General features: G+C 37.8%; 1 long non-coding RNA gene across 1 annotated transcript in view; it reads right to left on the bottom strand.

Annotated features, from left to right (window-relative positions):
- The window catches only part of LOC124904510 (uncharacterized), a 54,613-nt gene extending 44,227 nt beyond the window's left edge, over positions 1-10,386 (bottom strand). The window contains exon 1 of the long non-coding RNA XR_007066877.1: positions 10,271-10,386. This is a non-coding gene — a long non-coding RNA (uncharacterized LOC124904510). The remainder of the gene's footprint in view (positions 1-10,270) is intronic.
- Between the last annotated feature and the right edge of the window lie 3,298 nt (positions 10,387-13,684).

The following is a 13,684-nucleotide window of genomic DNA, read 5'->3' as shown; positions in this document are numbered from 1 at the left end:
AAAGCTAAAGCTTCTTCCTTCTACCTTTAATTACGGGGAGCACAACATGGCTTTAGAATTGTGAAAGGCCAGAGAACCCCCAAGGGTTTCAAGACAGGTTCCAGCAGGGCAGAGTTACTGGACTCTAGACAAATAGAAAATGGCAGGTTTGTTCCTCATAGAATTCTAAGAAGTTTTCTCAAAGTATTTCCTCATTCCTCTGAGAGCTGCAGTTGGCCTGTGGGTCCAGCAGTCAGAGTTTGTGTCTAGGCTGAGCATCACATGCTCTTCGGGTGCCCCTGTGCCCAACTGTCCTCTTCTTCTCAGTGTTCTGGAGCCCCCTCCCTTGACAGGTGGTTGTTACTCCCAATTTATTCTCAAGCTTGTCAGCTAGGATTATTTTCCTCTATCATCTTAGACAGTTCAAGAGGTAATCTTAGCAAACATATTATCTAATCAATACAATCACTTTCAACTTTATGGTTTGTATACACAGTGATCCTTAATTCTAGCTAATATTTCTACAACCCCACTGCCATGTTCTGAATGTTTGTGACCCCCTAAAATTCGTATGTTGAAATTCTTACCCCCAATGTAATGGTATTAGGAGGTGGGGGCTTTAGGAGGTGCATAGATCATAGGCCTGGAGCCCTCATGAATAGGAGGCTGAGAGAGACCCCTCATCCCTTCTATGTGAGGTTAGAGTGAGATGATGGCTATGAGGAAGGGCCCTCACTAGACACCAAATCTGCAGGCATCTTGATCTTGAACTCCCCAGACTTCAGAACAGTGAGGAACAAATGCCTATTGTTGTAAGCCACCCAGTCTATGGTAGTTCATAATAGCAGCCTAAACTGACTATGACAGCCACAGAACCAGAATTAGCATGATTACAAGCTGAATACAAAAGAGAGAAGGTCGCTGATGAGTCAAGAATTATCCCCCAAATCCCTCTTTACCAAACAAGGGCAGAAATGTAGGCAGCATTCCATATTAGTGAGACAGAGTAGGATGTCAGGGGGTCGTTCCGGCATACAAAAAACCCACAGCTGAGAGGCAGTGAACATCGGGGAACCTCTTGGGAGGAAATAATGGCCAGTTATGGGAACTGGTTCAAAGAGGATAGGAGAAAAGAGTCCCAAGAGCAAGCTAGGATCCAGTGAACTGAAATACTACACAAGTGTTAAGTCCAGGTTCTCATTACAAGTAAGGGTTTGGACTCAAGAGACAAGGAAGGGGAAAGAGCCTATTTAATGAAAAAGGCACGGGTAAGAGCTCACTTCTTCTTCCTAAGCAGGAAGCCTGGGTTTGGAGACGGGAGTTCGACTCAATCTGCAACTGAGTATGAAGAAGGTGCAGCAGGAGACATTTGAGCTCTTGCAGAGACAGGATGTTGCACAACTTGCCACATGATGTTCAAAATATGCGTCACTATCTTGCCAAGGGCCAAACACCACAGGCAAATGAAAAACATATACCCATCTGTCTTAGTCTGTTCATGCTGCTATCACAAAATGCCTGAGACTGAATAATTTATAAGGAATGGAACTTTATTGCTCACAGTTCTGGAAGCTGGGAAGTCCAAGATCAAGACACCAGTAGATTCTGCGTCTGATGAAGGCTTGCTCTCTGCTCTCAGAAGGGCACTTTGGTGCTGTGTCCTCAAAATGGCCAAGGTGGAAGGTCAAAGGGCCTAACTAGTTCCCTTGACCTTTTTTATAAGGGCACTAATCTTCAGATTTAATCATCTCCTAAAGACCCTCCTCTTAATACTATCACATTGGGTCTTAGGTTCCAGCATGTGATTTTTAGGGGGACACAGACATTTAATCCATAACACCATCTGTTTTCAACATACACGCCCACAGACACCGCCCATCCACCTCTGCATAGAACCTCTACCTCATTGATCCTTTACCTCTCCCTTGAGCTTTGATGCATTTTACTCTGTTTTTCCCTTTTTCAGACCTGTGCCCCTCCTCAGCATACTAGCACTCAGTACATAAGAAATGGATCCTCTACCTAAACCACCACTGTAAGCAAGATGTTTGTCTCACCTCTAATGTGCCTCCAGTAAACTTTTTCTTAAAACTTCCTGAAACTTTAAGGGAGAGAAAACAGAAATGTTGTCCACACTTGCTGATGGGATTAGAGAAAATGCTTCTCCTCTTCCACACTTCAGGAATAGTAGCAAACCTCAGAGAACAGGGAAAACTCCCTGCTGAATTTAATGAGGTAAAGCCTCAGAATTCGGAAGTAGCAATTTAATTGGGGACCTCTGTCTATTCATTAGAATATTCATGAAGATGACAAAGTTTCTGAAAGCCTATAAGATAAATAAAGCCAATGATAGTCTCAATCTTAACGATAGAAGCATGCCCAGTGCTTACACAGTGCCTCATACACAATACATACTTAACAAATAATAGTTAAATTAATTAAATGGTTAAATGAGCCAATGAACGATCTATCTTTATTAACCTTTTCCTGGATTTTGCAACTGAAAAGTTGGGAAATTCTTTACAACTAATTAAAACCTGCAATTTAAACACATAGCTAATTCATCTATGTTGGGGACCATGAACAAATCTTATTCCTTCATAACACTGTTTTTACACAGCTCTCTTCTCTTTCATTGTTGGGTAAGTAAGCCAAAACCTTCATGTTCTTCTTAAGAATCTTGAGGCTGGGCACAGTGGCTCACACCTGTAATCCCAGCACTTTGAGAGGCCGACGCGGGCAGATCACGAGGTCAGGAGATCGAGACCATCCTGGCTAACACAGTGAAACCCCGTCTCTACTAAAAATACAAAAAATTAGCTGGGAGTGGTGGCGGGCGCCTGTAGTTCCAGCTACTAGGGAGGCTGAGGCAGGAGAATGGCGTGAACCCAGGAGGCAGAGCTTGCAATGAGCCAAGATCGTGCCACTGCACTCCAACCTGGGCAACAGAGTGAGACTCCGTCTCAAAAAAAAAAAAAAAAAGAATCTTGAAATACTGAGCTCCTAGTACAGAATCCCAAGCCTCAAATCATTTCCACATTCTCTCCCATTTCATCCCTCATAATTTTCTTCACTTTCATTTTATACCTTCCTCCGCATAGTCTTTGGTCAAGTATACAAATCATTGCATTAATGTGTACTTTCCAAATTCCTGATTAAAATTTAATTACTAATAAGATAATAGTAAAGTGGCAACAGATATTTTCTGCATTGCTTTTAAAGAAAGGTGAAGTAATTTATGGGACTTGGAGTTCCCATGAATAGCTTACTTTGTTATAAGTAAAGTTAATTATTCATCTTTTTATAAATAAAATCTAAAAATAAAATATGCCAGGAATAATGACAAATAGATTTGATTAATTTTGTAATTTATTCCATTTCAATGGGTCTGTCAAGATCTTTTTTTATTTTTTGCTCACTAATACAATTATATGCAAAGCCCAAACCATAGAACATGGAATTAATTTCCACCATTTCACTGTCATTATGATTATCATCATCAAAATTATTAGATTGGCCATTTTCCTTTCTGGAAAGGAAAACAATCCTTAAATGTGGAAAACAGTCTACATCCATTGAAATTCTTTCCTATACCGGTAACTTATATGCCCACTGGCTCTGTCATGTATTGGTATTGTTTTGTAAGGAGTATAAACAAGGGGCAAGGGATGCTGAAGTACAAAGTAAGTGACACTCCTCTCCAAGAAGTGGGATAAAACTCAGAAACCAGAATGGCCCGGTCTCTGCCCCCATTTAGTGTGTGGAAGAGAGACTTTCTCTTTTGTCTTGCCCTATGCTCAAAAGCCTTAGGACCAAAAGCAGTAATATAAGGTTTGTTAATTCTTCATTGAGTACCATATGGCAACAAGAGGACACTACCATGGATGTCAGCAATTATTACTAAGCCAATTCAGGCCACCACGTTACTCTTTTGGTATTCTTCTTCCATTAACTATAAGCAATATAAATCATTAATACCATATAATACACTTAAACACTTTTGCCCAATTTAAATTGAAGATAGTCACTGTTACAATTAGGGCTTTGGTCTTACAGACAGACATTCCTGCCTTCTATTCTTGTCATGACTACCAATGGCCAAGTGACCTTATGCACCTGACCTATACTCTGCAGGTCAGTTTCCTCTTCCATACACTGACACAGTCAGTGCATATTTAATCAAGGTCATTAATTTTAGGAAGTGCCAAGCACAAGTGTAGGAGCAGTAAAATACTGTCTTAAAATAGTAACATGTGTGCTTTTCTTTATATATAATCTTACCAATTAATCATTTCCTCAAGGAAAATTAGTTTTTTTCTATAACAAGGACAAAGAAGGAGAAACAATAAATTTGCTGGTTTTCAACAACTCACAAATAGGCTCTTAAAGCTCAAAGAACTAAGACATAGAGTGTTGTGGGCTGATTTATGCCCCAACACCTCCAACTCATTTGTTAAAGTCCTAACCCCCAGTACCCCAGAATGTGATGATATGTGGAGATAGGATCTTTAAAGAGGTAATTTTAGGCTAAATGAGGTCATTAAAGTGGATCCAGTATGACTGACTGTCCTTATAAAAAGGAGAGATTAGGGCATAGACAAGCCCAGAGGAAAGATCATGTGAAGAAACAGAGAGAGAGAAAATGACCATCTACAAACCAAGAAGAAAGGCCTTAGAAGAAATCCACCCCACTGACACCTTGATCTTAGACTTCTAGCCTCCAGAATTGTGAGAAAATAAATTTCTGTTGTTTAAGCCACTCTGTCTGTGGTATTTTCTTATGGCATTCCTAACAAACTAATATGTATTACAAGATTTAAAAGAATGGAGAAAGCCTCAGATTTCTTTGCCTCCAGAAGAAGGGTTGAGGGCCATTCATTCAGGCGGGGACTGGAAGTGTGAGGCAGAATATATTGGAGCCCTGGAGAAGGAGTCTGAAATGAGGAGAGCAGATCTAAGTGAACCACATGGAAGACAGTCCCTTTACAGAGATATTCAACAGAAGCTGACTCTCTCACTATCACTGCTCCTTCCACATGCATTTATTTCAATGCCAGCAAAGAACAATTTCAATCAAGGAAGTTCACTCCAGATTTGACTTAATATTCATTCTATCATAAATAGCAAGAAAAACTTTTGAGTAAAAATTCCAAACAACTATTAATCGAGAAGAGGAAGAAACAGGTACTGTCTAGGCAGATGAATTGTGTAGTAAGAAGATCCTGGAAGGAAGTGGAAGTTTCATTTAAAGACTGAAAAGAATAATTCCTAAGGAAAAGTAAGCTTATTAGAGCAGATTCTGCTAAATAGACATACAGAGGAAAGCTCTAGAGATCAAGCTGCTGTTCAAATATGGAAGATTTAATGTACTTTCTGAGAGGAAATCCTGGGAAAGGGCCTGTTTGAGAAGTAAAATCTCTAAACACTTTAAGATCATTCAATTAAAACAAAAATTGTAGAAACAGTTGAAATTTGAATAGGAACATTAAACCTCTCTGAAAATCAAAAGTCACTCTGTTGGTTTTAAGATATGAAAACACAATATGTGCTTCTTCATGATTAATAAATCGTATCAGAAATACCATATTTTAAAGTGTTTTTAATGGCATTCCATTTTAAAACATTCAGACTAAAATTACCACTTCATTAACTGATTTTTCAAATATTTTTCATACAGTTTCATGGCAGATCTTCCTTATCATGTGTTCTATATTAAAATTATCTAGTATGTAGAAATTTTTTTTAAATGAGGAACACTCTACACTTTCCTTTTAATTTATGTTCAGGTAGAAAATAAAGGAGAAATATGCCTAAAAGATCCATCTGTAATGAGAAATACTGTGTGTAGTATGATGCAAATAATACAGATTCCGAGTTGACCACCAGGTGGTCAGAACTAAAGAGAATAATTCAGAGTAGACTTCCTCCTATCTTGGGTTTTAAATTATGCTGAAAAAGCAAAATATTTTAACAAAGATGGTGGAGGTGGGATGGGTGCAGAGAATCACACTCCAAGAAGGATAACAGGATTAGAGGAAGACCTGACAGAGGGAGCTAGAGGACAATGACAAGCAGATGATCAATAGTGGGGCTGCCCTCTTAAGACGGAAGCCGGAATCTCTTCTGAGGAGGAGCGGAAGGAGCGTGCTGTTCACAGTCACGTAGACATTGCCTACTCTACTGTCTCCAGACCACTGAACAAGGCAAAACGGGAGAGGGGGAGTAGTGAGAAAGACCTACGCTGACTTCAACTGAGGGATACCAAGAGTATCAAACCACAGATGTTCCCTCGCTTTTCTAAGGAGATGGGAGCAAATTAGGAACCTGATCCTGCCATATTGCTGGTCCTCAGAGCTGAGCTCTGCAAGACTATACTCTTTGCTCAGGGAATTAGGTGGCTTACACTGATTTGATAGGAAGAATTACAAATAACTTCTCTCTCAAAATTTTTACGAAAATAAAATGGGATTGTGTGTATCCATACAGTATCATAATGTAAATGATCATAATTATCATTTGAGTACAACTAAGAGTAATGAACTGAAACACCCATTTTCCTTTTGGTTAATTCTCAATTGAAAATAGAGCCATTGCTGTTTGTCTTAATCCATTCAGGCTGCTGTAACAAAGTACCATAGACAGGATGGCTCATAAGCAATAGACATTTATTTCTCACAGTTCTGGAGGCTGGAATGTCCAAGATCAAGGTGCTAGCAGATCCATGTCTAGTGAGGACCCACTTCCTCATAGACAGCCATCTAACCGCACAAGATGGAAGAAACAAAGGGGATCTCTGGGGTCTCTTTTATAAGGACACTAATTCCTTTCATGGACTCCCCATGACTTAATTGCCCCCAATTGCCCCAGCTCCTAAATGCCATCACCTTGGGGGTGAGGATTTCAACATATGAATTTGCCAGGGACATAAATTTTCTGATCACAGCACTGTTTTACATGAGGCTTGAATTTATTACCCAGGTATCTAGATTATCCAATTTCTTGTGCCTTTTCTTTCTCTGATAACAGCCTCCTTCAGTTTCTTGATTTCTATTTATTTCATTGATTATTGGTTTTCTCCTTTTTTGATGTCCATCACATGTTATTAGTTCCTGGCCTTGGGAGTTAAATTATCCATATAAAAAAATATATAAAAAAAGCTTATTTAGAACTTCCTTTTTTTCTTTTTTGTGACACAGAGTCTCACTCTGTCACCCAGGCTGGAGTGCATGGTGCAATCTGGACTCACTGCAACCTCTGCCTCCTGGTTTCAAGCGATTCTTGTGCCTCAGCCTCCCAAGTAGTTGGGATTACAGGGGTGTGCCACCACAACTGGCTAATTTTTATATTTTTAGTAGAAGATGGAATTTCACCATTTGGCCAGGCTACCCTTGAACACTTGACCTCAGGTGATCCACCCACTGTCGTCTCCCAAAATGTTAGGATTACAGCATGAGCCACTGTGCCTAGCCTTAGAACTTGCATTTTTTACAAGGTCAACAATTGATGTGTACACAGGTTAAATGTCTGGGAAGACTTTTATCACATATGACAGGACCACTGACATAAGCAAGCCAATTAAGGTCTACTCTCAGAATTGATATGTGCATTTGAGAGAGAGTGGCTTCCTTTTCCCTTTAGATCTCAAGACATAAGGATTTAACTTGGGATTGCCAGTGCCATCTTATCTACCACATGGAAGAAAGCCAGCCAGAAAAGCATATCCAAGCCACATAAAAAGGAAGGGTTAAAAGACATAAAAGGGTTAAGAGACAGAGTTAGACAGAACCCAAACAGCATTACTTGAGTCCCTGCTATGCCTGGAGTCAGAACACCCTAGAAATTCCCAGTTAAATAAGTCAATAATTTCCCTTCTTTGCTTAAAGTATTTGGAGTTGGGTGATTGTCATTTGAAACAATCACCCTGAAATATAAAATACCAGTCTATTATACCAGTATCAACCATCAAACACCAAAAAACACATTTACCATTCTGGAGCATCTTTCAGGAAGTATATTTAATTTACTTTCCAGTCTATTTCTAGCTGCAAGCTTCTTAGAGGAAGTAATCATTGGGCAAATGGATAAATATTATATCTCATTGTCAGGAAGTTCTCTTTTCTTTCGTATCATGATAGTTTCCCCTTCTGTTTTTTTCCAGGTATCTCCCAACCCTAAGATTTCTAATTAGTTAATAAACTGGCTCCAGCTGTTTCTCCTGTTGTGCAAAATTCAATAGAAGGAAGAAAATCAATTAGCATGCACCTGAACACATTTAGACAAGATTTTCAAGTGGCTTTTTACTATGAAAATCTAGGCAGCCCTATAAAAATAAATCAAGAAGCTTTGGGAATACAATGAGATTAGAAAAGAGAGAGTTTCATTTTTACCTGGGTTAACAATACTGCATATCATATCTCCCTGACATTACGCAAATGATCAGAGTAATGCATAACTGCTAAAGAAAGAGGGGAAGTTCTCTGTATAAACTAGACTATATCATTGTATAGTGTTAAGAATAGGTTTTATTTTCCAGAAAGACAAGAATAAGAATGTCCCTTTGCTACATGATCATGTGAGGCAGAAGAAAATGACTGTTTTTAATCTTCTTGAAAGGATTTCTTGCAGAAGTATCCTCTTAAAGAACCAATCAATTTTCAGTGGGTGCCACATTGTTTTATCTCTATACTTTACCCAGCTTCGTGTAGGAAATACTGAGAAGGATATGTTTGCTCTTGTGGTCTTATCAAAAATGTAAGACTGCTAAGAAAAAGTAGAGAATTCGAATAATTTAATGTTCATGAGTCTTCAAAAACCTTATCTATCTTAATCTGACCTGTAAATATGCCTTAGAATAACTAAGATATTTTAATTTCTTAAAATCCAAATTAAAACACACTTTCCGCAAACAAACTAAAATGCAACTGTTGCATTAAACAAGCTTTATGTTTCTTTATATCTGTGCCTTGGCCATTGTTGGAGATCACAATGTCCTTCCTCTTATTTATGAAACATACAAAATAATTCTTGCCTTAATATCTAAGCATCCAAAATGCACACCACTGATTAGAATTCGCCATTCCATTTAAAGAATAATCCTAGTAGCAAACATTTATGTAGTCCCAAGCTTTGTTGTGATTGCTTTGCCCATATTAATTCACTTAATCATCAGAACAACCTGATAATGCAGATCATCGCTATTTTATGGGTATTCACAGGTATTTTTCGTCATCCCTATTTTACAGGTGAGGAAACAGAGGGATAGTAATTTACCCAAGATCACATAGTGACTAAGCAGCATATCAGTGACACTGCTACACTGACTCTCTAGCCTAGTGAGGGTTTTTTCTCAATAAAGATGAATCTATTTTTCAGAGAAAATTTGGCAAAGTTGTTACATAATAAATAGATTTATACCAACACACACACACTTTATTCTTCCCACAAAACTTAATTTGAAAGCCCCCTCTTCATAATCCTTCTCAGATTTCCCTCATCCTTATCTCTAATCCTCACTTGGAAATAACCTATAAATTCCTATATAATTCTGAAATTTTACATAAATCTTACATATTTTATATAAATCTTACATAATATAATTTTAAGAGTACTTTTCTCAGAAGTCCTTGGATTATAATTGTGTATATGATTTGTTGGCCCAACTAAACTGCAGATACTTGAAAGTTGGAGCATTTTAAATTTCTTATTATGAGGCACTTACTGCAGCATTTTACATGGAATAGATGCTTAGTAATCACTGGTTTGCTGAATTAATTAATACTTCAGCCCAAAATTAACTTTTCCCTGAGGTATTGGGTGCAGGCAGTTTTCTCAAATCTTTTGAAAAAAAAAAAAAAAACAAAGATGATGATAATAGGGATAATGATGAATTATTATAGTAAGCAGAAAGAAAAAAGGAATCTGAATACTGGGTAGTTTATAGAAAGTAACTGTTTTCCAAAAGAATTTTGATAATTAACTCAATTATCTGCAAATATTGACCACCAGTGATTGTGTAGCCACCTCAATATTCCCTACTTCCACTACAAGGACAATTTTGACTTCTTGCAATCTCTTACTGAGAAAATTTGAGGTAAAATAATGAGATGATACATTCATTGCCTCCTGAGCTCAGTAGAAAAACAAGTCACCTGTGCATTAATTCCTAATGCATATTTCTTATTGTACCTTTAGAATAATAAGAGCAAGAAGGTAACATGATGATAATGACCTCAACAGCAATGTTTATCTCTCTAATTTTTTTTAACAACTTGCCAATGATATTTTCTCTTACCTTTCTCAGAGATGGCACAATGGTGAGAAACATGATCCCTAGCATGAAATGCTTGGGCTGAGATCCTGGCCCAGCTTTCTGGCAGCCTCAGGTAAAGCACTTTACCCTCTGGTTCCTGTCCTGTAAGATTGAAACAAACCTTACAAAAATTATAACTGAGAAAATTATGATCGTAAAAGAGATCTGACCTAACTGATTCCATCTTGCTTCTATAACCTCCAAGCTGTCCTTACTCATTTCTGGGTGAAGGCCAAACTAACTACGGGAGGGACTTAGTTTATAGTTTAACTGTGAAACAAAGATAACAGCCCTTTCCCAAAACGAACCCCCTTCCTGCTTGGGGGACTAGACTGCCTTTACAGGTCTAACAAATTCGCTACAAATTAGAAATTATGGTTTAGGAATCATGCAGCTGGAAGCTGTAAGATTCTAAGCCTCCCAAATTGCTCTTCAGGATAACTTCACTATTATAAAACCTAAGATCAGTGCTTGAGATATTTTGCAGACCCTGCACTCATTGAATCAACTGGCACCATCCAGGTTGATAAACTGGCTCCCCTGGTCTTGTGGACCCCACCCAGGAACTGACTCAGCACAAGAGGACAGCTTTAACTCCCTATGATTTCATCTCTGATTGGTTAATCAGCACTCCCCACTTTCCTACCCCCTACCCACCAAATTATCCTTTAAAATCCCAATCCCCAAGATTTCAGGGAGACTGATTTGAGTAATAATAAAACTCCAGTCTTCCACACAGCTGGGCTTTGCATGAATTATTCTTTCTCTATTGCAATTCCCCTGCGTTGATATATTGGCTCTGCCTAGACAGCGGGCAAGGAGAGCCCATTGGGCAGTTACAAGATTGCAATGACAGTCCCAATTTCACAGAGCCATTGTGAGGCTCAGATGACATGCTATGGGCCTAGAATAGCAAATTGTATATAGAAAGCACTCAGTGAGTCTTAGACACTATTTAAAAGTTGTTTTATTGGCAATATTCATATCTCCCTGACATTATGCAGTCATCAGAGAAACCCATTTAAAACCTAACTGTAACACAGAATTTACTTGCATGAGTAAAGAGGTTGTCTGTTTAGTAATGTTCTCAAAATGACCTTAGTCCTTTATTTCCCTGTGAACATTTCTAAGAAGGAAATGGCAATGAAAATTGTTTACTTTTTGATGTAATTATTCTGTTACAAATTCATATTTATGTATATGGTTATTTGCCTCATCAGGTCTTTTGTCAATATGGCTATCATGTTTAATATCCTTCTATTAGTATCCTGATGTAATGCATTTAAGACAGGCATGGTCATTTGTTTTGGTACTTCTAGGCAAGGAGATAATAAAATGAACCATAGAAGAAAAATCAAATGAAGTCTGAAAATCTGTAGATGGAAAAACAATATCTTTTTTAATTTCTGAAGGGTTGTATTTTTCAATTTAATTCATTCCTCCTGAGATTCTTAATGTGATACAATTTGCATATTAATTGTTGCATCTCAAAGGATTAATTGGTTACTTCAAATAAATTCTGTTGGATTTTCTAATGAATTGTCCTAAGTGATGCAGTGGTCGGGGGGAGAAAAACACAGTAATGAAAATGAGCTACAGCCCACACAAGAAAGTTTCTAAAGAACTCTTGCATGCTTAATGAAATTAATCCATGGTTTTAAAAGAAATGAGCCTTATTTAGGAGCAGACTCTCAGACACAGTCCAGGATATTTAATACTTCTCTGTGTCAACTCAGATGCTGAGGGAAGTCTCAAAGGCTGGCAGGGTCTCACTAAAGGTCTGGATCAAGCTGTTAGAAGATTCAGATCTTGACCTTAGTTGTCATCTGGTTAAACACAGATTTGTAATTTGGATTACAGCCACATACAAGGCTATTTCCAAGACTATGTGAAAAATTGCTAACGTGGATCCTTTCTCCCCAGTAGCTTCATGTGTCCTGATAAATCAAAGTTTTCCTTCTTGAAAACTCTAATTTTTTTCTACATTCCATTGAGTGTGTTACCAGCAAAGCTTAAATTCATCTTTCTAATCTGGCCTTCCTTACCCAAACTGCAACAGGTTTCTACAAATCTCAAATCACCTTGCATTCATCAAGGAAACAAGTGTATATCTGAATTAAGACTCTTCATAATTTTGTTAATTAATGGGTAATACTCATTTTCTTTCTTCTTAATCAAGAAACAAAATGTAATTGCTTTTGCTGCCATTACCAATATGTCATGAGCTTTTTGACAAATGATTCCATAAAGTAAAAATTGATTTTGCCATTATAATTGGTAACATAAACACTTGATCAAAATAATTACCTCTGTATTTCTGGCATTTTCACGTTTCTTCCTTGCAAAGTAAAATTTTTCCTAGTTAAGTCCTTCCCAAAAATGTGGAATCACTGAGTGAACAGATTTTTGCTCTAAAACACCTGCAAAAATAGTTATACTTGTGGTCGTCTTCCAAAGAATTTTCATCCTGTGCAGCACTATTTGGCATTTAACACATCAAAGTCATGTCAAATTTTCCAATCTTCTAATCTTCCTTTTACCAGAGGTAGGTGGAATATTGAGTGGCATCATTACAATTCTTTCCTAAATCGGAGGTACTAAAATCTGCAAATGCCATACATATATAATAACTCTTTCTTTTTCACCCTTTTCTTTAGTAAAAGGCTAACATTGCATCTGCACAGGCAAAGCTAAATCCCAAAAGGATGAAAAGCTTTAAAAAAAAAAAAAAAAAAAAAAAACCTGCAGCCGGGCACAATGGCTAACGCCTGTAATCCCAACACTTTGGGAGGCCAAGGCAGGCAGATCACGAGGTCAGGGACTGAGACCATCCTGGCCAACATGATAAAACCCTGTCTCTACTAGAAATACAAAAATTATCTGGACATGGTGGTGTGTGGCTGTAGTCCCAGCTACTTGGGAGGCTAAGGCAAAAGAATCACTTGAACCAGGAGACGGAGGTTGCAGTGAGCCAAGATCGCGCCACTGCACTCCAGCCTGGTGACAGAGCGAGACTCCGTCTCAAAAAAAAAGAAAAGAAAAAAAAAACAAAAACAAACCAAAAAAACTGCATACTTAAAAAAAAAAAAAAAAACCATAGTTTTTGGAACCAAATGAGTATGGCTTGTTTGTCAAAAGTCATAGCTTAATTTTTTGAGCCCACTTTTAAACTATGAAATGTGAAATATTAACACGAATTTATAATACCTAAGTTCCAGGACTATCGAGAAGATTAAAACCATAGAAGATGGGTGCCTTATAAACATTCAGTAAATGGCAACTGTTTTTATTAAAGTATTTCATGGACAGAATTCATCAGTTTCTTTAAGGCCATTTAATTTGGACTGTATACACAAAAACAGGACCCCAAGTGACAAAAATAAAATAGCCTCGTCT

Source organism: Homo sapiens, chromosome 1, assembly GCF_000001405.40.
Source record: "Homo sapiens chromosome 1, GRCh38.p14 Primary Assembly".
In the NCBI taxonomy this organism is placed as follows: Eukaryota; Metazoa; Chordata; class Mammalia; order Primates; family Hominidae; genus Homo; species Homo sapiens.
Note: the sequence above shows the minus strand (reverse complement) of the source record. Positions and strands in the feature narration are given on the sequence as shown.